At 46.5% G+C, this 24,463-nt stretch overlaps 2 long non-coding RNA genes across 4 annotated transcripts in view, besides 1 other annotated feature; one reads left to right on the forward strand and one right to left on the reverse strand.

Annotated features, from left to right (window-relative positions):
- Positions 1–24,463, forward strand: part of LOC107987065 (uncharacterized) — a 65,083-nt gene that overhangs the window by 37,174 nt on the left and 3,446 nt on the right. The window contains exons 1-5 of one of the 3 annotated variants that reach the window (XR_001746669.2): positions 6,181–6,217; positions 7,054–7,218; positions 19,616–19,681; positions 21,998–22,146; positions 23,004–23,137. This is a non-coding gene — a long non-coding RNA (uncharacterized LOC107987065). Of the gene's footprint in view, positions 1–6,180; positions 6,218–7,053; positions 7,219–19,615; positions 19,682–21,997; positions 22,147–23,003; positions 23,138–24,463 lie in introns of those variants that run through there. The other 2 variants (XR_001746668.2, XR_001746670.2) reach the window with 2 other exon arrangements.
- LOC105376040 (uncharacterized) lies at positions 1,597–23,073 on the reverse strand. Its single transcript, XR_929605.1, has 4 exons — positions 22,989–23,073; positions 21,977–22,212; positions 14,427–14,558; positions 1,597–1,636 (listed from the first exon to the last, which is right to left on the reverse strand). It is a non-coding gene; the product is annotated as an uncharacterized LOC105376040 (long non-coding RNA).
- Positions 18,216–18,510: a silencer, noted in NCBI's record as "tiled region #3476; HepG2 Repressive DNase matched - State 12:CtcfO, and K562 Repressive DNase unmatched - State 12:CtcfO". NCBI's record gives its function as "represses a minimal TATA promoter and a strong SV40 promoter by Sharpr-MPRA in HepG2 and K562 cells {active_cell/tissue: HepG2 | K562}" and the evidence as "EXISTENCE:reporter gene assay evidence [ECO:0000049][PMID:27701403]".

Genomic DNA, 24,463 nt, shown 5'->3' on the forward strand with positions numbered 1-24,463 from the left:
ATTAATATTCTTCTTTGGGACCTCGGTGGTGCCAGTTGTAGGAGCTGGGCAGTCAGTGCCCAAGCTTGTCTTCTAGTCCTAAATGGTGGGCTCCCCCAGGCAGAAAACAGGAAGAGCAACATGATTAAAATAAAAGTGAAAGTTCTAGGGAGAAACCTTAGTCTAAGGACAGACTAAGGTTTAATTCAAGAGCTCACTGGAATTTGTAAGCAAAACATCAATACCCCAATATGTAAATGAGCAAAGGGTTCAAACAGACAATTCACACCGGAGAAAGACAAATAACAATCCAACACAAAGAAAAATGTCTTTCCCCCCTCTTTTGCTTTACTTTTCTTTAATCCTCGGTGCAAGATATCAAATTAAAACAACCTCGAGATGGCTTTATTCCCACAAAATAAAAAAATATGTATATTAAAATGAGTTTCTAGCTGAAGTGATACACTCCGCTGGGGAGGTAAAACTTATCCTGTAGCAGACATTTTGCAAGGCGATCTAATAATATGTACCAAAAGTCAAATCAAGATAAATGATCCAGGCATCTCACTAATGTGAATTTCTCCTGAGGAGATTATTCAACAGGAGGAAAACGCCAAATCAACAAAGATGCCGTGAAAACATTTGAAAAGCGAGGTATGCATGCGTCAGTGGAAGATGGGGAAGCCATCCATGAGGTTCCACACAGAATACCCTGAAGTGCTTAAAAGGGTAGTTGTGTTTTGAGGATTAGGCATAGCATGTGGAACAATGTTTACAATGTATTTTTAATTTAAAAAAGGAGCACAAAAGGCTATTTATAGCATGATGGAAACTATACACATGTGACTGTATGACGCAAATGGTGCCTCCTTGCAAAGGATGAGACATTGAGAGGGGTGCGCTGTCCAGCACAGAGGGAGACCCCCGGGAGGCATGAGATCTCTGTCTCTCAGTCCCAAAGGTCATCTCAGAGCAGCAGCAGCAGCAGCAGACAAGCTTTGAGAGGTCCCAGAAAGCAGGCCTAGCACATGAGATGGAACTCTTTTGGGGGGCAGGTGGCAGCTCAGCTCAGGGAAGAGCCTTCTTGTGGTCAGTGACATGGGCTGGCCCCTGAGGTAGTGAGCTTTCAGGGGCTGGAGGTGTGCAAGCAAAGGCTGGAGTAGAGCTGGGCAGCTGGAATGATGTCACCTAGGATGGTTAAATGATATTAATCACATGTCTACTCATACCAGCCCATCTAGCCAAATATCCCTGTATTAGGCCATTCTTGCATTGCTATAAAGAAATACATGAGACAGGGTATTTTATAAAGAAAAGAGGTTTCATTGGCTCACAGTTCTTCAGGCTTTACAGGATGCAGGATGCTGGCATCTGCTCAGCTTCAGGGAAGGCCTCAGGAAACTTACAATCATGGCAGAAGGCACAGGGGGAGCAGGCACGTCACACAGTGGGAGGAGAAGCCAGCAAGAGACAGGGTAGAGGTGCCACACGCTTTTAAATGAACAGATATCTCAGGAGAACTCACTCACTATCGCGAGAACAGCACCAAGGGGACGGTGCTAGGCCTGCTTTTTGGGCCCCTCAAAGCTTGTCTGCTGCTGCTGCTGCTGCTGCTGCTGCTGCTGCTGCTGCTGCTGCTCTGAGATGACCTTTGGGACTGAAGGACAGAAAAGCCATCACAAAAAATCCAACTTAATGACCCAATCACCTCCCACCAGGCTCACCTCCAACATTAGGTATGAAAATTCAACATGAGATTTGGTGGGGACACAGATCCAAACCATAGCAATCCCTAAAAGGGAAACAGAGTAAGCCCATTCATTCATGGAACACAGGGAAGAAAGAGGGAGAGGAAGAAGGAAGGGGAGGGAGGGAGGGAATGAGGGAGAGAGCAAAGGAGAAAAGAGAGGAAGAGATGGAGGGAGGGAGGGGGAGAAGGAGGGAGGAAGAGAAGGCAAGGCCTGTCACATGCTAAGCAGGTATCTAATCCCTTTGTAAACACTGTCAGAAATTTATCTTCCTAATTGAAAAGCCCATGCGGGCTGGTTAATCCAGTCCATGTTAATGAGACCAAAACACATTAAAGTAGATATTGACTCCAGTCGTCAGAGAGCCAGGATTGAGGACACCAGGGGGAATATATTGACAAAAGTGAGGCTGGGGTCAGCCTTGGCCCCACGGACATTATCCTGCTGCTCCCTTGCTCAAACCACCCCACAAAGAGACCCAGTCATCCACCCAGGGCCTGCAGGATTTTCATTTCTTATGGGGAGAAAGTGCTACTTCCATGATGGAAGCCATTGGCCCCCTTAAATGGAAGAAAGTGGCCTTAAAAATAAAGGCCTAAATAAAAACATTCACTCAAACAAGTAGAGCAAAGTACAAATCTGTTCATGTTTAGTAACTTCAAAGAAATCATTACCAAGCCAGAGAGGGGCCTTCTGGGAGGCTGGGGTGAAGCAATGCTCAACCAATGCTTGTCTCCTGCTCATGACATTTAACCCCTCCTACAAAAGGTTAATACTCTTATCCTCAGCATTGCACTTAGTAAAAAGTCTCCCATCCTATATTCAATTAACGAGTGAGGCCTGGACCTCGGAGTCACACAGACCTTGTTTCAGCCTTGCCATCCCTCTCCTGGACCTCAGGATAACTGTGCATCAGTTGCCCTGGCCCCAGTTTCACCCTCCCCAATCCATCCTCCATGCAGGCCACTAGAATGTTCCATTTGCCAGTTCTGATCATTTCTTGCTCCCACTGAAAGACTTTCCATGTTTCACATTGCCTACTGGATAAAGCCTAAAACTGTTTGTCTTAATTCACCGTTTTTCTAGCATCAGCTCCTATCACCCTAATCACCACTGTCCCAAATTCCCACTATCACTACATGCCCTACGCTCCAGCCATTGACTTATTGAGAGAAAGTGACTTAACTCACAGGTCTGGACTCAAATCACCTCCACAGTCAGGCCAACACACTTTCGATTTAGTAGAACATGTAGTCATCTTGTTTGAAGATATTTTAAAAATACAGTATTAGGCCCATTGAGTTGCACAAACTTCTCAGTTTACAAATCTTTTTATGTAAATCATCTCATTTAACCCTCACTGCAGCTCCATGAGGTGGATATGATGAGGTCTGCTCTGCAGATGCTCAGGGACTCTGCCAAGGTCCCTCAGTGACTAGAGGGAGCTGTAACCAGGGACAGGAACCCAGCTTAACCAAGCACTTCTTGCACTCTGAGCCTACAGTTCCCAGGATCCATATTAATCCTCCTGTCTTACAGAAGAGGAAACTGAGTGACAGAGAGGTCCAGGAACTTGCCTGCATCCCAAAGTTACAGGGGTGGGTCAGACAGATCCATATCCACCCAGCTCAATGTCTACTTCTTTCTCCTGCATCCCAGCTGCCTTTCTGAGGCAGCCATCAAGAGGCTAAGTTGAGGCTGCCCTTTGCCCTCAGCAGTCATTCTTCACTGGGTCCCAGGAACAGGGGTTTCTGGATCATTATTTAGAATGTGATGGGAAGTGGGCATCAAACCAGACAGCAGCTGTTGTGTGAATTGAGGGATTCAATTGTCCTTGAGAAATATGTGTCCTTTGGGAGCAGCCCCAGCCCTCTCTGTCCCTGATCTGAAATAACTCGCGGGAAGTTCATGGCCAACCCTAAACCTGGTGGCAAGAAGAGCCTGAAACCCTGGAGCAGCCACCAAATTTCACCTCCAGTGGGTGGAGGGCAACTCGAGTTGTGTTTCACAGGCTGCTTTGAAATCCCAAGACAACACAGCAAAAAGGCACTCTCAGGTATGTATGTATTCATTCATTCATTCATTCACAAACGTGTCTTGAGAGCCTACACCTTGGCAGGTGCTCTGGGAGACACAGCCCAGGCCGTCAGGCCCCAGTCCAGTGGGGAGATAACCTGGTAAACTGTAAGGAAGAGGTTCTTCTTATCCAACTCCTACCTTTCCCATCTAAAGGAACTGAGGCCTAAGACGGGAGGCCCTCCTCTGCTTTCAAAGAAGAGAAGGCGGCAGTTTTGTGTTCAAGTCAGAGACCTCACAATGGCAGTTTTTCAGGAGGCTGAAGGGGCTGAATTTCTGTTTTCCCCAAGGCAAGCTGTAAGAGCGTTCCTTTGACAAGGTAATAAAACATCTGTGTTTACAAGAGAGACAGGAGGAAGCTGGCAGCTGTGGACCTCTGGGGCTGCCTCTGAAGGTGTTGCCTCGAAAGATACAGTCTGAGGTGGAGACATCCAGCTGTGAACAGCCTGTGCCTGGCCCAGAGCCTGGGTACTGGTCTCTTCCTTCTGCTTTAGAGACTTCTCCTGGTCTCCCACTTGTTGTGTGCTGGCCCACCCTGGCACAGGCCCCATCTGGACTTGCTGCTCACTGAGTGGTTGTTTGATGGATGGATTTCATCTCATCTGTGCCCTTCCCAACATGCAGCTTACCTAGAGGTCACAAGGTTTTAAACTCTTCTCTTCCCCCCTCCTGCAAGGTCATACGAAGCTGCTTTATTTGTCATCAAGGCCTTTCACTGCAACCCGCCTTGCCAGCCTTGTTTCTCTTCCTCCCGCACTCATGTGAACCCAGATCAAAGAGAGCCCACCCCACCTCACTGGACAGCACTGGCAGTGAAGATTCCACTGTCTGGCTTGTTGACATGAAGCTGGTCCCCAGGCCCTGTGTGGTTATGAAGGTGGGAGGGAAGCTAGAACCTCCCCACAGATAATCCCCAAGTCTCCAGGTTTCTATGGAAGCAGAGAAGTAGTAAAAGGCACATGAGGGGTATCTTAGTCTGGATGACTCTTTAGTCCACACCTGGGCTCTGGGATTGTTGGCCCTAGCACCCCTTCCCAGGTCCTCATGCAGCTGATACTCAGCTCGGCCTGACACCTTGACCCCAGCACCTTCCACTGGTCCTGCTTGATGCTGCCTCTTCTGGAAATGGGAATGGTGATCCTTCCCCACCCTTGCTACCTCCCAGCTGAACAGAGGGGCACATGAGGTCATGCGTGAGAAAGCACTTCGTAAAGGGTGAAGCACGAGGCTCAGAGGAAGCAGGTTCAGGTTTAGTTAAGATTTTTAAAGCATCAGCTGGGCGTGGTGGCTCATGCCTTCAATCCAAGCACTTTGGGAGGCCAGGGCAGGAGGATGGCTTGAGCTCAGGAGTTCAACATGGTGAGATCCCATCTCTACAAAAAATTTAAAAATTAACCAAGCATGGTGGCACGTCCTGGTAGTCCCAGCTTCTTGGGAGGCGGGGCAGGAGTATTACATGAGCCCAGGAGGTCGAGGCTGCAGTGAGCTTATGATTGTATCACTGCACTCCAGCCTGGGCAACACAGCAAGACTCCGTCTCTTAGAAAAAAGGGATAAGTGGCTCGTGTTTACTTTTGCAGTCACCCTAGTCATAGGGCCAGTTCAGCTGCGGTTCCTTAGGAAAAGGAAAACATCTATCTGCATCCTCCTAGTTACTAATTGAGCATGTGTTGCCTGGTACTTTCTCCAGATAGGACTTTGTTCATTTCACTCTGACCAGGAATGTGCAGAGGAAGCATTCAGACTATTCTGCCACTGTGACTGCTCCAGGGATGTGGGTAACAGACACTGGGTCATTGCCACAGGAAAACCTCAGCCTTGCCCACTGCTGGGAACAGCCAAGGAGACAGAAAGGAAGGTGACCCCTGACTCACTTGCATTTTGCAGACCTCACAGGAGTGTGTCTACTTGATGCCCCAGGGCCCTAGCTGCATGAGAGTGGGGAGAACACAGAAAACACAAGGTCAGCTCTCCAGCCTCTCCAACCAGCAGTGCAGAAGGGTGCTGAGCAAGCTGCCCCCCAGTATCCACCTCTGCAACCTCCTCAGTCTACAGAGCCAGCCGGGGGTGGGGCCAGCACTCAGATCTGCCTGGCTGGGACCCTGAGCCCTCCTCTGGATCACAACGTCTCTGTGATCTGGGGGTACAATGGTGTGAGATGAATGATTCAGGATAACCTTTCTGATGCGGGGAGAACAAAGTGTCCCTGCTACGTCCTCCAGAAAGCAGAGTCAACACAGCCGAGGGAGTACAGTCCAGAGATGTGAGGTGCATGGGAGGGAGGCAGGATGGAGGGAGAGCCACAGTGAGGATGTGCTTTTTTTTTTTTTTGAAACAGGATCTCGCTTTGTCACCCAGGCCAGAGTGCAGTGGTGCGATCACTGCTTGCTGCAGCCTCAACCTCCTGGGCTTACGTAAGTCTCCTGCCTCAGCCTCCTGAGTAGCTAATTTTTAAAAATTTGTTTGTAGAGATGGAATCTCACTGTATTGCCCAGGCTGTCTCAAACACCCGGCCTCACACCATCCTCCTGCCTTGGCTTCCTGAAGCACTGGGATGGCAGGCATGAACCACTTATCTGTTCTTGGTGTAATTGCTCCCCCTTTCATGGAGGGCTAACTTAGAGTCAAATCTTCACTCTGTGATTCCATCATCCACAAAGCCCAACTTTGACTAGTTGGGAGTAATCCCACTGAAGAGGTGCCAGTGGGAATGTGTGGACTTCTCCTGAGGCCTGGGGGTCCCCAGGGCTGGTGGAGGCAGGAACTCCACACTAAGGCACTGAAGAACCTGAGATGTCCCACGGCTGAGAACAAGAAGAGTCTGTAGGCTCGGGCAGGGCAGAACCAAGGGGACTGGGGCCAGGAGGAAGGCTGGAAAGAGGAGCCCAATCCCAGTCCTCTAGGTGGTGATCTGCGGCACAGCAGGATCAAAAGAGGAACAGAGGCCAAGGGCACAGGACATCTGGGATCCAGGCCCAACTTGTTCATGGCTCACTGTTTGCTGTTGAGCAGGCCCCTTCCCCTCTCTGGACTTGTTTCCCCACTTGTAAAACAAGAACTAGCTGGCCTCTAAGATCCCCCTCCAGCCCTGGAATTCTGTGGGTTGATGAGAAATCTCCCATAGTTAGCAACTGCTCCTGCACAAACCCACAGTCACATGAAGATGCAAGCAGATTGTTCTGTATTCACTTGGGAATTAATACCCTGAGTCAGTCTCTTTTCCACCAAGTGCTTGCCGTTGCCTTTTCAGATCTCCACACCAGAGCCACGAGTTCCAGGTAGCTCTACATTTGACACAATTTCTCACCATGCCAAAGAAATCTCTTCTCCCAGGCCACAGCCAAATGGAACCATCTGCACCATGAAGCTGAAGATAAAGCCGCAGAAAGATTGCTGTATTGTGAGTGGAGAAGAGGTCAGAAACAACCCTTCAGCCCAGGGAGCCAGGGAAAAGGCTGGGGTGCCAGGCCTTGACCACGATGTGGGTCAAAGGGAGGGATGGCCTGCCTCCCCTGAAACTGTCCCTCCTCACAACAACCCCCAGAGTTATGTGCTTCTCCCCCATTCTGGAGGTGAGGAAAGTGAGACTCAGAGAGGTGAAGTCCCCTGCCCAAAGTTACACAGCCAGTGACGAAATCAGGCTTCAAAATGAAGTCTGTCTGGCTTTCAGCTCTGGTACATGACCTCCCCCTGACACTGATCTGTTTGTAAGCATGCCCCCTTTAGTGGAGTCTCCCTTCAGGGGCAAGAGCTGGGTGGACTCAGCTCTTATTGCAGGGCTCATAGACACACAACAGATGCTCAGCAAATGCTGGTGGAGCAAAACTGAACAGAATTTCCACTAGCGCCCAGACACTTGAAATTGATGGACAGGTGATCTCCCATTCGGGCCATGTGTGTGTCATCTGCAATGGCTCCCGTGGAGTTGAGCAGACAGGAAAAGTGTCTCAGTCCCAGCAGGAGGCACAAGGTCACACTCTTGGAAGGAATTAATAATATCCAAGGAATTCCTCTGGAACAGTGGGGGGGAATAAAGGTTCTTCAAAGAAGGCCTAATAGCAAATTTTCTGGATTTTCCAGCTAATTTGAAGGTACCTACATGGAACATTTTCTTGTCAGAAAAGATTTTAAAATACATTCATTCAGCGTGACATGATAATTGGGCCTGGCTGCCTGATGAATGCCTTTTATCTATTCCTGAGCTATTGTTCGCTGGTATTGAGCTGATGGGCTGGAACCAGCACTTTGTTAAATGCACAAACAGAGCCACTTGCAATGATTCCGGTCACCAGAGGCAGTGGGGTGTCAGAGGTGCAGGGAGCTGGTAATGATAGTGTCAGAGGAGGAAGGAACTTTAGCGATTAGAGAAGGCAACTTCTTCACTGTATACCTAGGGAGACCGAGACCCAGGGATGAGCAGGGAGCCGCTATGGGGGTGGCAGAAATGGGACTTGGACCTGGGTGTCCTGCCCAGACCCTGAGCATCCTCCCCTGCCTTCTGAGGATCCTGTGAAGAGAGGCGAGCAATAAACAGCGTGTGTCCATGCAAAGCTGCTCACACCCCCTGGATCCTCTGCTGGAGTGTGCTCCACTCGCACTTCATGGCAGGGCTTGGCTGCCAAGCGGAATGCATTTCTGACAGCTGACTTTTCTCAGCTCTGCAATGTTATTATAGAGTCAACTGTTTTCATAGGCCCTTTTCTCTCTCTCTCCTTTCATGTTTTCCTTTATTTTAATGTCTTTGTCTTATCAAAGGCAAATTTCCAGGCCTGGCCATCTGATAATCATTTGCAAAGTCTCCATGTTTCTTTATCATCACCCTTTCTGAGAAGGAAGGACTTGTTTGGACCTAACAATTCTTCAACTTCACATAATTTTTTGGTTTTATCTGAATCTGAAATTTCTCCACTTTAAAAAAAAAAAACAGAATCTCTTTTAGAGTAGCTCTGAGCCTTCCATGTGTTAATTAGGTGTTTGCGAAACTATGGTTTGGGTTTTCTGCTTTGTCAGAGCAGGGCTACTATTTTTCTCTTAAAAGACTCAGTACATTATTAGAAATGCCTTTCACTAACATTTAACAAATAAAACAGTTCTATAGGGACAATGAAGTTGACATTTCCATTGTTTTCTTTAGAAAACACCACAGTGTTAATCATCCCTCAAGGGATTGCATTTTTTGAACAAGTGAAGTAGCAAAGGCCCAGGCCAGGGAGTACACGTATGTGCACACGTGTTGGTGTTTAGCCACGGATGCATGTCTATGTTTTTATGCTTAAGTCTGCATGTCAGAATGTGTATTCATGACACTCTGCATGTGGCTGTTTGTCTGCCAATGATAATCGGCTACATGCATGTATGGATTAATGGTCTGTGTGCGTGTGTGTGTGTGTGTGTGTGTGTGTATGTGTATGTGTGTGTAGATGAACCTATGTAAACCTGTGTGTATCTGAACATATCTACCATGTATGTGGATATGTGCTTCGTGCACCTCTGTGTGTGTGTTTTATGGCACCGTGACTGTATTCATGAGTACATGTTTGCGTGCGTACTTGCTCGTGTTTATGTACCTCCATAGTCATGTATCACATAATGAAGTTTCCATCAATGACAGACCACATATGCGACAGTGGCCCAAATTATAATATGGTATTTTCACTGTACCTTTTTTATGTTTAGCTATGCTTAGATACACAAATACTTACCATTGTGTTACAATTGCCTACAGTGTTCAGCACAGTACCTGCTGTACAGGTCTGTAGCCTGGGAGCAATAGGCTATTCCGTACAGCCTCAGTGTGTAGTAGGCTCTGCCATCTAGGTTTGTGTAAGTTCAGTCTACGATGTTCACACAAAGAGGAAATTGCCTAATGACGCCTTTCTCAGAACGCGTCCGTATTAAGTGACGTATGACTGTATATAGATATACACATCTATCCGCATATGTGTGACTGCTATGTGTGTGATGATTTGTGAGTCTGTGTGCATCCATATGTCTGAACATAGGCACACGTGTGTAGATATGTCTTTGTCCATGTTTCTCTACTTCAGTGTTTGCATGCCACGCGGATGCTGAGTTCTGTGTTCAGAGCCTCCTATAAACACGTACACAGTACCCTCCAGTGGACATCAGTGGAAAGCACCTTCAAAAAAAAAACAAAGCCAAAAAAAGGCAGGATCTGAATCGCTTCCAAATTCAATACTGGTTTGTCATCAGACGCAGGGTGAAGTTTTCAGGACGGTCCTTGAGAAAACCGGGGAGGGTCATGCTTCTGGAGTGGACACACACTTAACAGTTTTCCCTATGGAGGTCCAGCCTACCGGCAGCTGCTTCATGATGCGGGGGTGAGAGGACAGAGGCAGGATCACTGGGTGGGTCTGTGAGCCAGGAGGGAGGAGGTGGACGACACGCATTAGACCATGGTCAGGAGCAACTGTACTCAGAGCTTCCATGTTTGCTGGGGCCCTGCATTCTCTATTGCCCCAGTCGGGCCCAGTTCCAAGAACATGGAATTCACATTCAGAGCTATGCCCTTCATGCACCACACCAAGTCCCACTGGTCTGGGAAATAGGATCCCTTCACCCGAAACGCTGTGTTGATTTCCTGTGGCTGTTGTAACATAGTGCCACAAACTCGGTGGCTTCGTGGAGGTCAGAAGTGTCAATGGGTCACCAGGGCTGGCACCCTCTGGAGGCTCCAGGGGAAGCTCCATCTCCCTGCCTCTCCAGCAAGGTGATCTGCATTCCTTGGCTGGTGGACCCACGTCACTCCAACCTCTGCTTCTGTTTGCACATCCCCTTCTCTGCCTCTGTCTCTCCTAACTCCCTCTTTCCCTTATAAGGATCCTTGTAATTCCATTTGGTCCACCTGGATAAGCCAGATAATCTCCCCATCTCAAGTCCTTAATCCCATCTGCAAAGTGTCATTTGCCACGCAAGGCAACATTCCCACGTCCTGGGGATAAGGATGTGGATGTCTGGGGCGCATTATTTGGCCCACCACAGGTGCCCATCCCAGAGTTCTGTGTCTCCCTGTACAGTTCTGTATGCGTTGGGACTAGCAGGACTTGAGACACTGGTGCCACTTATGGCAGGTTTACTCGGTGCCTGTCATTGCACCTGACTATGCACTCTGCCATTTGGTCCTCGCAGCTTTCCTATGAGGTAACTGGGGCTTGGTAAGGTGACCTAAGGTGCCAAGGCACACAGCTGGGAAGTCATGGAGACAGATTTTGAATTTAGGATTGTCAAACTTCAAAACCATGATGACGTGGTTTGGATATTTGTCCCCGCCCAGATCTCCTGTTGAAATGTAATCCCCATTGTTCGAGGTGGGGCCTGGTAGGAGGTGTCTGGGTCGTGAGAATGGATCCCTCCTGGCTTGGTGCTGTCCTTGAGATGATGAGTTCTCTTAAGATCTGTTTTTTTGTTTTTGTTTTTGAGACAGACTCTCGCTCTGTCGCCCAGGCTGGAGTGCAGTGGCTTGATCTCGGCTCACTACAACCTGCACCTCCCAGGTTCAAGTGATTCTCCTGTCTCAACCTCCCAAGTAGCTGGGATTACAGGCACGGGCCACCACTCCCGGCTAATTTTTGTATTTTTAGTAGAGACCGGTTTTCACCATGTTGGCCAGGCTGGTCTCAAACTCCTGACCTCAAGTGATCCACCCACCTCGGCATCCAAAGTGCTGGGATTACAGGGATAAGCCACTGTGCCTGACCGAGATCTGGTTTTTTAGAAGTGTGTGGCACTTCCCCCAGCCTTGCTCCCGTTGTCACCATCTGAGACACCTGCTTCTGCTTCTCCTTCCGCCATGATTGTAAGCTTCCTAAGATCCTCACCAGAAGCCGAGCAGAGCTGGGGCCATGCCCATTCAGCCTGCAGAACTGTGAGCCAATTAAACCTCTCTTCTTTATAAATTACCCAGTATCAAGTATTGTTTTTATAGCAATGAGAGAACAGCCTAATATACATGCCCTTCTCCATTAAAAGACATGGTAACAGGGCCAAATCCCCATTTTACCGATTAGAAAACTGAGATCTGGAGGCAGGGCATTTGATGATAATTTGACATAAATAAATGCCTTGAGAAAAATGTATACATATGTCCTTTTAAGGATTGCTGCCATAGATAAACCAAGCAGTCATGTGAGATCCGGGGCATAAGACTTTTTAAAGTTAGATGTATTAAGGTTTTACATATACTAAAATTCACCAGCTTGAGGTATACAGATCTGTGAAACACACACAGCCTTTAACCACCACCATAATCAAGACATAGCATATTTCCATCACCCCAAGTGCTGCTTCCTGCCTCTTTGTAATCAGACCCCTCTTTCCACCCCAACTCCTACAATCCTGGTCTATTTTATGTCCCTTTAGTTTTATCTTTTCCAGGACATCATAAATGGAAGCATAGATGGCCTTTTAATTCTTTTTTAAATTAAGGTATTCTTTACATATACTAAAATGAGGTATTATTTGCATGTTGTATTTACATATAATTTACATATAATACAATGTATGCTTTTTGGTATACAGTTCTGTGAGTTTTGACACATACAGTCATGTGACCACTACATCAATCAAGATACAGAGCCATGCTATCACCTCAAAAAATTCCCTTATGCATGTGCCTCCATCGACATCCTTCTCCCCATCCTGGCAATCAATCATCTATTTTCTGATCCTATAATTTTGCCTTTTCCAGAATGTCATATAAATAGCGGACTACAGTATGAAGCCTTTTGAGTCTTCCTTTTTATTGCTGAGCAGTATTCCATTGCATAAATGCACCACAGTTTGCTTATTTATTCACCAGTTGAAAGACATTTAGTTTATTTCCCAATGTGGCAATTATGAATTATTCTTTGTGTTCACGGCTGAATTTGCTTTGATAATATTTTGTTGAGGATTTTTGCATCTATATTCATAAAGAATTTTAGACTGTAGTTTTCTCCTTTTTTTGGAGAGTCTTTGTCTGCTTTTGGTATCAGGGAAATGTCAGCCTTATAAAATGAGAAGTGTTTCCTCCTCTTCTATTTTCTGTAAGAGTTTGTGTAGAACTGGCATTATTTCTTCCTCAAATGACTTGGTATTAGAATTCACCAGTAAAGCCATCTGAGTCTGGAGTTCCCTTTGTTGGAAGCTTTTCAATCTTAAATTCAATTTGTTTAATAGATATAGGGTTATTGTTGTTATCTATTTCTTCCTGAGTGAAGCTTGGGTAGTTTGCATCTTCCAAAGGATTTGTCCATTTCATCTAAGCTATTAAATTTGATTATTATAAAGTTAAGGAGAAGTCAGTACTGAAATAACCAAACACATGAGTGAATGGCTCACCTAAGAAGACCATAGAGAAAAAAGAACAGAGATTCTGGGTTTAAAAATTACTTGAAATTCATGAAAAACTTTATGCTTTTTTGAAATGAAACAGTTTATTTAAAAGTACAATTATGCACAAGGATGTAAAGCAAAGTCTTAATATAAAAAATTGGAAACCACATAAATGTCAAGGAAAGCAAATATGGTATATTCACTTGATGGAATATATGTTATTCAAATTGTGTCAAAATATGCACAGCAAAATCTAGAGAGAAATACACCCAAATAGTAGTAGTTTTTGAGGTTTTGAGTCTATGGAGTTGCTTATTTCTTCTTTTCTATATCCTTCAATAATACTTTAGTAATATCTTGATTGATTATAAGCTTTCTTTGACTCATTTTTCTACAAATTCATTTTTTAGGTCATCAAAATTTATACTTCTAACCCCATTTTTCAGTGGACACAACTGAAAATAACGTTAGTCACTCAATAGCACATTCTCCTGCTGGTGGTCACCCTTGGAAAGGAAGCAGCTCATCATTCAGTCTCTCCTAGGTACCTGGCTTGATGATATTGCTGCAGGGCAAAGAGCTCACTCGCCATCAAGGGTGGTTTGTTTGCAGTGTAGCCACATCTCCTCTCTCCTGGGGCCTGACTCCTGCCACCACTGCCACCAATATGAGCCCAGGTCCTGGGCCTGGCCACCCCTCAGGGTCCTACCACACCCTGGACACACCCCAAGTGTAGTGTGTATGCACTTCAGGTGGCAAGGCCAACTGCTTGATCTGCACAGTGTACACTGTCCCTGCAGACCTGAGCCCACGCATGCATGCCTTACCACCTGGCATATATCCTCTGCTCACGTGCAGGCTCCATTGTACTATCAGACTTCACTACAAAGCAGGTTGAAGGGTAAAATTATTAAGAATTTTTTTTTTCTTTTGAGACCAGGTCTCACTCTGTTGCCCAGGCTGGAATGTAGTGGCATGATCTCAGCTCACTGCAACCTCCGCCTTCTGGGTTCAAGTGATTCTCCTGCTTCAGCCTCTCAAGTAGCTGGGAATACAGGCGTGCGCCATCGTGCCTGGTTAATTTTTGTGTTTTTAGTAGAGACGGGGTTTCACCACATTGGCCAGGATGGTCTCAAACTCCTGACCTCAGGTGATCCGCCGACCTTGGCCTCCCAAAGTGCTGGGATTACAGGTGTGAGCCACCATGCCTGGCCAAATTACTAGGAATTTCAAGACAGCCACAGTAGAGCATAAAAATCAAGTGCCTGTACAACTGCAGAGGTCTCATACCTGTAAAGCCAGCCTGGAGCAAGAACACGGAGGCCTGGGCAGCAGAGGCTGAATGTGGAGTAGTGTCATCCCTTAGAAGTCAGAGTGGGCACAGTGGGTGGGCAGGTCCAGTGATTGATAGTCCTAGGATGCCTACCAAACATACAAATACACACCATCTTTACCACAGTGTAATTTCTGTTGTAGAAAGTAATAAGAAATAAAAAAAAAAAACCACCATGAAGGCAGATACTATTTCTCAGTTTAATTTATAGCTAAAGTCCCAGGGCCTAGTCTAGTGCTTAGCAATTAGCAGGTAACCAATAAATATTATTAAATATAATTGCAGGGATTCCTATTCTTATCTTTTCTAGTTAGCTTGATAACTCCTATATATCCTTCAAGACCCTATTCAAAATGCCCCCTCTTCTAAAAAGTTTTTAGGAACCCTTCCAGAGTTAGTGACCCTTGTTTTCCTGCACCTTCTGCAGCTCTGATTTTAACACCAAGCCAAGGCATGGAGGTTATAAGACAACATCTTACACAAATCCCCATATTTTGGTTTAGTTTCAAAATTTTTTCTCAGTAATTTTATAACTACTAAAAATCTTAACCCCATCAACTAGGATGAAATGAGTTTTTCTATGGCATTTTCTAAGAAGTAAGGTACTTTGTTTATTAATCATTCTTTTCCTATTTTTGCCAAATGACTTTATTAATTTTGGTATCCAAAAGTTTTTCTGTTTCTTTTTTTAAAAAATTAAACATTTTATTTTGGAATAATTTCAGATTTACAAGAAATTTACATATATAGTACCGAGAATTTCCATGTACCCCTTATCCAGTTTCCTCCATTGTTAACATTGTACATTATCATGCTATACACATCAAAACAAAGACATTTGATATTGGTACATTACTAATAAGTAAAGTCTAGACTTTACTTAGATTTCACCAGTCTTCCCATTAATGTCCTCTTTTTGCACTGGTATCCCATCCAGCATATATTGTATTTAGTTGTCATGAGTCTCCATGGTCCCCTCTGGTCTGGGATAGTTTCTCAGTCTTTCCTTGTTTTCCATGACTTTGACAGTTCTAAGGAGGACTGACTGGGGATCTTGTAGAATGTCCCCAATCTGGGTTTGTTTAACGTTCTTCTCATGCTTAGACAGGTTAAGGTTTATGGAAAACACTCAACAGAGATGAAGTGCCCTCTGGCTACATCATACCAATGGATACATGATAGCCACATGACATCACTGGGGAGGCTCACCTGGATCACTTGGGTAAAGTGGAGTCTGCCAGGTTTCTCCATGGTGAAGCTGCTATTTCCTTTTCTACATTCTATTCTTTGGAAGCAAATCTCTGCTTCCTTTTTGATCTAGAATCCTATCTCATGTGTCCCAGAACCTATCGCCATATTATCATTGTTCTTTTTAAAAAAATCAATAAATTATGATCACTTTAAAATATATTTAACATCAAACTTTAAAAAGAAATTTGCCTGTCAGACCCAATGATCTGATAATTACTATAAACACACTATTTACTATAAAATTACATGCTAATTACTATAAACATGTAATCATCAGATTACAAAATAATCCCAATTTAGGAACAGGTAGGATGAAAGTGTTAATGACACCAATTAGTGCTGCTTGTCCCATCCCCAAACCTGGCTGCATCTGGCCCCTTGTGACAAATGACATAGGCATTCCCAGGCCCCTGTTCTGTACTAGACCTTGTCCTGAGCTCTGTGACCTGGACTCTGGAGTTGACCTGCTTCAACCCCTTTCTTGTATAAGAGGGGAAATTAAAGACAAGAGAGGGAAAGGGCTTGCCTGAGGTCACACAGCCTGTGAGTAGCAGAATCAGGACTCAATCCTGAGTCTCTCATTTCCCCAGCATTCCAAGTAATGCCGGTGATAACCTGGGATCCTCCATGAAATCCCTATTCAGCCAAGAAGGATTCTCTGCTTTTCTGCATGGCTTTTAATTCCAGTTCCAGTATCTGAGTCCCTTCTGCACAATCAAGCTGGGGTCTTGCAGGGAAGGTCCAGGGGAGAATAACTACTCCTCAGCACAGCCCTCAAGGAGCTTCTGGTGAGTAGAGTGACAATTCGATCAAGGGCTTAGTACAGGGTCCAGCACGGAATAGATATAAGTCATTGTTGGATGACTGGATTGGCCGGAACAAAGTCACTCTCCCTTCCACCTGGTTAATGCCCATTACACACCTTAATGATAGTATATGCCCACCCCTGAGAGCACTGACCACTTTACACCAGCTTGTGCTTCCTTTGAGTAATGGCCCTTTCCCAGCCAACACACCCAGATCCTGGAGAGCAGGGGCCATGTCAGTCTTGCCCAGCAGCTGGATCCCAGCATTTATCACAGAGCCTGGGAGATGGCAGGCACCTAGTAGATATTTGATGGCTGAATGAGTGAATGAATGAATGCCATTCCAGGCAGAGAGAGGGCCAGGCTGTCACATACATGCAGTCAGGCCTCCCACTGCCCAGATGCAGCTCCCCACATTTCTCACCAGCTGCCAGGCCATCCCATCAGACTCAGGTTTTCAAATAGAAGCGAGGAGTTGAGTGTATGAAGCTAAACAAAGCAGTGGGCTGAGCCAAACTTGCCTCGAGGCAAGCTGCTTCCTGCTGCCACCCCGGCTGGCACCCCATAGTCTGGAGCCAGGCCTGTCCCACAGCCAACCCTCAGCTTCCAAAATCTGCACCCAGCCAGAGAATGTAGGGTGAGGGGCTTCTGGGAGGGAGGTCACCTGCCACACTCCCATCCTGGATGGCAGGGTCAGACCACCCTACTCATGGCCCATACACCCAGATCCGGAGGTAGAGGTGGGAGGAAGCCTACATCCTGTGGTGGGATACAAGGAAAGAAGGAAGGAGACTCCACACCTCCTTGCACCCATCAGGAGCACAGCTCGGTGCTGGGCACTGCATGTGTGTTATCTTGTTCAAAAGTCATTACAAGTCACAGAGGCAGGGGTTGTTATTCTCTTTTACAGATGTGGAAACTGAGACTCAGAGAGGGCAAGAACTTGCCAAGGCCACAATTCTGGTCAGTGACAGAACTGATTTGAGCTCAGCTCTGTCTGATTCCAGAGCCTGAGGTTTGGTCTCAAGCTGTGGAGGTTTCTGTTCCCACACTCACCTGTCTTCCTCATTAGTTCCCATCTCTTCTTCAGTCCACATAAGATGCCACCAGGATACTGCCCTGGTGTTTTTGTTTGTGTGTGTTTGTTTTTTATTTTAAGGCTAAGATAAGGAAGGAGGGGAGTGGTAGGGAGGTCAGCCATTCACTCCCTGGTGTGAATCATTCTAATCCATTGCTTTCCTTCTGGCCTCCAGCTGAGTCTCACCTGCCTGGAGCAGGTAGAAATGTTGGGGAAAGTGTGGCTGCCTGGGAGTCAAGGTCGCTTTGAAGGATCCACTGAGTCAGTGTACAGATGAGGAAACTGAGCTCAAGAGCAGGAAGGGAAATGCCCAGAAGCCAGTGAGGAAAACAGGCAGAGTGCGATCTGGATTCAGCAACAGGAAATGTGATTTCCCCACCTATTTGGGAGGCTGAGGCAGGAGGACTGCTTGAGCCCAGGAGTTTGAGGCCAGCCTGGGCAACGTAGAAAGACCTTCCCCACTCCCTCGCAAAAAACAAAAACAAAAAAAAAGAATATGATTCCGAACACCACAGCAAGTGCATCTCTCTGAAGTCCCCTGCTGACAGTGAAGGTAAAGGCAAAGGTGAAGGTGGTGGGGCCAGAGCGTGGAAGGGAAGCTAGAGGTTTTCCGAAAAGGTCATTCTGTAAGAACCCAGGGGCTATCCTAGATGCAATTGCCTGTTCTAATAAAGGAGATCTCAATACCCACTTCAGTCTCCAGCACCCATGCAATTATCTGAGGACTGGTTTATGCAGAGGTGAACAACCTAATCTCACAGCAGGTGGCAGCCTAGTGTCTTGCAAAGTCACATGCCCTACCTGTGTTCTCACTCTGCTCCACTACTTACTGGGCTTGTGGACTTCTCTGAGCCTCAATATTCTCTTCTGTAAAGTGGTTGCCTACTTTGTAGCAAAGACGAGAGTTCATGACTATAAAGCATGTGTACACCTAGTATATGGTTGGCTCTCATTAAGGAGAACAGCCTTTTGTCAGGGCTGGAAATGGGCTTCTTTCTTGGTGCTTAGTCTCATTACTGCCTGACTTAAAACTTCTATCCAACTGGTCTGCGCAGCCCAGCAGAAATCCCTCAAAGGTGGTGCGTGGAGCCTAGACCTGGGACCCAGGAGACCTGGATCAGTTCCTGCCTCTTCCACAGACATGCTATGTGACCACAGACTGGTGCCTTCATCACTCTGCGTCTCAAAACTCCTGTCTGGCCTTGAGGTTAATGGTTTCCAAACACTTTATGTTATTTATTCTTCATACCTACCTTAGGAGATAAGTACTGTTGATATCCCCATTTCACAGATATAAGAACTGAGGCACAGAGAGGTTAAGTTAACCTTGGCATGCCCAAGGTTATACATCTAGTTAGAGAGGCAGGGTCAGGATTCAGTTCCAGCTCTGTCTGACACCAGAACCTCAGAAGAGTCTCCACCCAGGAGGACCTCAGTGCAGAAACAGAGAGGCAGGGTGGGCACGGTGAGACCCAGATAGGGTTGCCAGCCTGACAGATTTGAGGAGAAAGAAAAGGACTGGGAAATTGGGAGGGGATGGGAGAATCCCTTTCTCATCAAGGCAGCTGCAAAGGGAGGAACTGGTGGGGACTAGAGGCAGTGGGGGGCACAGGGAGTGGCAGGGAGGCAGTGCCAGGGGAAAAGGGGGGTCCTTTTGAGAATGTCTGGGACCTCACAGGTACAGAAAGAAGCCTGAGCTAGAGTTAGGGGCTTCAGCCTCTAGCTATGCCTGAAGGGTGCTGTGACCTGGGCAGATTCCTTTCTGTTCCTGGGTCTCAGTTTCCTCCTTCGTACCATGGAGGGTGAGTCCAGGAACTCTTCCAGGCCCTCCTTTGGGTCTCCAGCCTATAACTGAGGGCCCAGCCCAGAGCAGATGCCTGAAAATTGCTTACAGAATAGTGGCGTGAGCAGCTGAATGGAGGGGGGTCAGTGGTGGGGCAAGGGCTGGCTTAATGGAGTCACGCCCTTGGATGTGATGCTGATTAGTATCCTGATTATTGTCTACTTACAGCCCTGCTTCTCTTCACTGGCTGATGTGCAGACATTTATTAGTAAATCTTCACGGCGGTCTAGGGAGGTAAGTAGGGAGGGGGAAGCCTGTTTTACAAGCTTTGGGGGCGAGTATTGGGTGGGAGTGGAGGAATCAAAAAGACTTGAACCATTTGCTGGAGCCAATTTTGAGCTCTCCAGCAAAAAGAGATGCTGGAAACGCTCTTGTCTAATTCTCAGCTGCTCTGCCATTTGAATTCTCTCCACTCGAGAGATTGAAAACAGGCAGCTACAGATAAAATCTGTATTTTATTTGGCCTGCAAAGGGTGTTTAAAAATTTGTGGTTAATATTTAAATACAGGGAAATTTGGAGCATCCAACTCATCCACAGATATCAGGGTATAAATGGATACATCCCCTTTGAAAAGCTGATTGACATTTTCTACTATAAGCAGAACACATGCGTGCCTGGTGACCCAGCAATTCCACTCCTAGGTATGCACCCAACAGAAATGCGTACACACAGCCATCAAAAGACGTTCAAAAATGTTTATGGCAGCATGATTTGTAACAGACTGAAACTGGAAACATCCTAAATGGCCAGCAACAGGAGTGGATGAATTAATTGTGGTATAGTCACACTAAGGATTCTGTACAGTAACAAGGATGAAAATTAGCCAGGCATGGCTAATTTTATTAACTGTATAGTTAGTTATTAATTAGTAGTTATTAGTGATTATGAACTATAGTTGTTGACTATATAGTTATAGTTATTAACTATAGTTGCAGATGATGTCAATGACTTGTGGACAGATAGCATCTACAGTGTGGAATGCTGAACAAAGGAATCATTCCTATATTATTCACTGTATAGTTAATAATAGCCATGCTGTACATTAGGTCTCCAGAACTTTTTCATCTGCAAGTTTGTACCTTTCGGCCAACATTGCCCCATTTCCCCTACCCCTCACCGCTGGTATAACCACCCTTCTAGTTTCTGTTTCTGTGAGTTCACCTTTTTAAGATTCCACATATGAGTGAGATCATGCAGTATTGATCTGTCTTTCTGTGTGATGGCTAGATGGATAAAGCAACTTTGGTACAACAGTGCCCCCTTATCCACGTTTTCACTTTTTACAGTTTCAGTTACCCTGCAGTCAACCATAGTATGAAAGTATTAAATAGAAAATTCCAAAAATAAACAATTCATAAGTTTTAAACTGCGTGATGAAATCTTGTACTGTCCTGCTCTGTCCCACCTGGGATGTGAATCATCCCTTTGTTCAGCATTCCACATTGGAGATGCTACCTGCCCAGTTGTCATCAACATCGTCTGCTCTTGACATCCAACCACTAACATACTTATGGCTCAGTGATGCAGAATCCACCAAAGCAGATGAAGTGGGCTTGTATATTAAACACGCAATGGGCTGCTCTTTACATTCACAAATAAGAATCATCTCCCTGACTTATTTCACTTAGCATAATGTGCCCCAGGTCCACACGTGCTGTCACAAACGGCAGGAGTGCCCTCTTTTTAAAGGCTGAATAATATTCTGTTGTTTATATCTATAGTAGTCCCCCTTATCCTCCCCATTGTTCTTTTTCAAAAAAATTCGATAAATTATGATAGCTTTAAAATATATTTAACATCAAGCTTTAAAAAGAAATTTGCCTGTCAGAGCCAATGATCTGAGAATTACTATAAACACGTTATTTACTATAAAATTACATGCTAATTACTATAAACATGTAATCATCAGATTACAAAATAATCCCGATTTAGGAACAGGTAGGATGAAAGTGTTAATACATTCCAAGACCCCTAGTGGATGCCTGAAACCTCAATAGTACCGAACTCAACATAGCTTATGGTTTTCCCTATATGTAAATACCTAAAATAAAGTTTAATTTATAAATTAGGCACAGTAAAAGATTAACAACAATAGCTAGTAATAAAATAGAACAATTTTAACAATATACAGTAATCAAAGTTATGTGAATGTGGCCTCTCTTCTCTCTCTCTCAAAATATATTCCTGGCCTTTGAACACATTTCCGTTTACAACCTCCATCCTACAGTGTCCTTGCCAATGGTTTATCTGGCTTCTGTTTGCACATGCTGGTGACAGGGGGCTCATTCTCTCCCCAAGTGGTGCCTTCCATCATGGGACCATTTTGCTAGTTAGAAAGTGCTTTCTGAAGCTGACTTGAAATGTAACAGACTCACAGACTCTCACAAAGAGATGGGAACTTGGAGGTTTCCCAGCCCAGAAGTCCTTATCCTTTTCACCCTCAGAGACCTTTTCCTTACCCACCCCCTTGGGCTTGTTGCTGGAATATATTTTGTCTGCCTCTTAAGTTGCATTTATTACTCACTCACCTGAGAGAATGTATTTCCAAGTGACAGCATCCTCTGGAATATTTCAACTACAAAAGGCCTTTGACTGAGCGCTGTTCATCGAGTCCAGCCCCGGCTTTGCAAATAAACAGCTGACACCAAGAGAGGAGAAGCAACACGGCTGAGGCCACAGGGTGACAAAGCCTTAACAGGTATCAGCTCTCTGGCTGGCCATTCACATCCTCATTGGTCTCTGGATTGTTCTGGTCCAGCTTAACCTTAGCATACAGCAAAGAAGAGATGGGAAAGAGACAAAGGAGGGGTCCACTTTCTTGCAGAGAAATGGAGAGACAGGAAGGGGGTCCAAGGCAGTCAAGCGCCCCTCAGAGCAAGGAGGACAAGTGCTCTGGGCATAGGGTGGGGGGTCTGGGGGACATATCTGGGTGGGAGCCGAGTGGGCGTGCAAATAAACAGCAGAGCCCATCACTCCCTCGAAGTCCCTGCAGATCCTGCCCACAGCTGCTGACCCCTCACACGCTCTAAGCTCCAGCCACCGCCTTCTGCCCAGTCCCCCGCCCCTACCGTGCACTTCCTACCCCAGGCCTTTGCTCCCACTGCTCCCAGGCTGGGGCTGATTCTCTCTCCTCCATCCTCCATCCTCAACCAATACGGATGGGGGCCTGTGTATGTCCTTGAGTGTGCTGGTCACCTTCCGTGGCTCTCATTCTTTTAGTCCTTATCATGACTCTGAGAGTTGAGTATTGTTATCCCTAATTTACAGACCAGGAAATTGAGCCTCAGAAAAATTAGGTTTTTAAATGTTAGGATCACAAAAGATTAAGTGGAGAAGTGAGATGAGACCCCAGGTCTTTAAGCTTGAAATTCAATGTTCTTTTGAATATACACTTCACCATCCTGCTTTTCATGTGAAAAATATGCCAAACCTTAGGATCTCATGTATATGCATGAGATGGCGGCTCCATCTCTCTTTTCTCCCCACCCCCCTCCTTTCTCTCTCTCTCTCTCTCTCTCTCTCTACCACCCCTTCTCCTACCTTGTGAGGACACAGCAAGAAGGGGAGAAGGCAGTCATCTGGAAACGAGGAAGACAGCCCTCACCAGAAACTGACACTGTTGGACCTCGATCTTGGACTTGCAGCCTCTAGAATTGCAAGAAAATAAATTTAAGCTGTGGACTCTGTTATTTAAGCTCTCTAGTGTGTGGTATGTTGTTATGGCAGCCTGAGCGGATAAGACTTCCTTTCAACAACAGAGGAGAGTGGGCCTGCAGCAGGGGTCGGGGTCGGGGTCAGGGTCAGGGTCAGGGTACCGGGGAAAATCCCCGGGGCCCCTCGTCAAGGAGGCAGACTCCAAGATCCACCCCTCTGGATTCCAAGTGGGCATGTCTGAGGATGAGCCTCAAGTCCTCATGATTTTGAGAGGCGATCTCTGACCACCCTCTGAGTACTGCTGGCCCAGAGGGTCCTCATGGTCCCTTCTGCACCTCACCCTCAATGTCAGTGAAGCCCAATGATAAGCCACATCACTTGTCCCAGCAAATTCTTCATTTTCAGACATCAGTTCATTCTAAGTCATCCTCTTTTGGCCTTGTTTAATATTAGAACATGGGAATGCAGAGATCAGTGGCTGAAAATAAGCTGAACATTTTTAAAAGAGAAAATGAATCTCTGCACACTTCCGGAAAGTGGAAAAAAGTGCTCTGAGTTACTGAAAAGTTGGCAAAGTGCCTCATTGGAGGGACTAAAAATTACCAATACTAGAAAAGAGACTGAAAGTATCTCTTGTAATAGCTACCTATTGCTGCCTAATAGATTGTCCCCAACTTAGCAACTTTAAACAACAATTTCTGAGCATCAGGATCCAGGAGTGGCTTAGCTGGCTGGTTCTGGCTCAGGGTCTCTCGTGGGATTTGGATCAAGCTGTCAGCCAGGGCTGCAGCCACCCGAAGCTTTGCCTGGCCTGGAGGACCCACTTCCAAGTGCACGCAAGGGGATGCTGGCAGCCTGGAGGGAGGCCTCCATTCCTGGCCAGGTGGGCCTCTCCAGACTCACATGGCAGCTTGCTTCCCGGAGTGAGAGATCAGAGAAAAAAGCCCAAGATGGGCCTCAATCTTTCATCATCTAATCTTGGATAGGACATACCACTGAGAGGTGACAGCCTGCTGGCAGCCCTCACAGCCCTCACTCGCTCTGGGCGCCTCCTCGGCCTTGGCGCCCACTCTGGCCGCCCTTGAGGAGCCCTTCAGCCCGCCGCTGCACCGTGGGAGCCCCCTTCTGGGCTGGCCAAGGCCAGAGCCGGCTCCCTCAGCTTGCAGGGAGGTGTGGAGGAAGAGGCGCGGGTGAGAACCGGGGCTGCGTGCTGCGCGCTTGCGGGCCAGCGGGAGTTCCGGGTGGGCGTGGGCTCGGCGGGCCCCGCACTCGGAGGCCCCGTGGCCCGCAAGCCCCGGGCAGTGAGGGGCTTAGCACCTGGGCCAGCAGCTGCGCTCGACTTCTCGCCTGGCCTTAGCTGC

The sequence above is a fragment of the Homo sapiens genome, chromosome 9 (genome assembly GCF_000001405.40).
Source record: "Homo sapiens chromosome 9, GRCh38.p14 Primary Assembly".
NCBI lineage: Eukaryota > Metazoa > Chordata > Mammalia > Primates > Hominidae > Homo > Homo sapiens.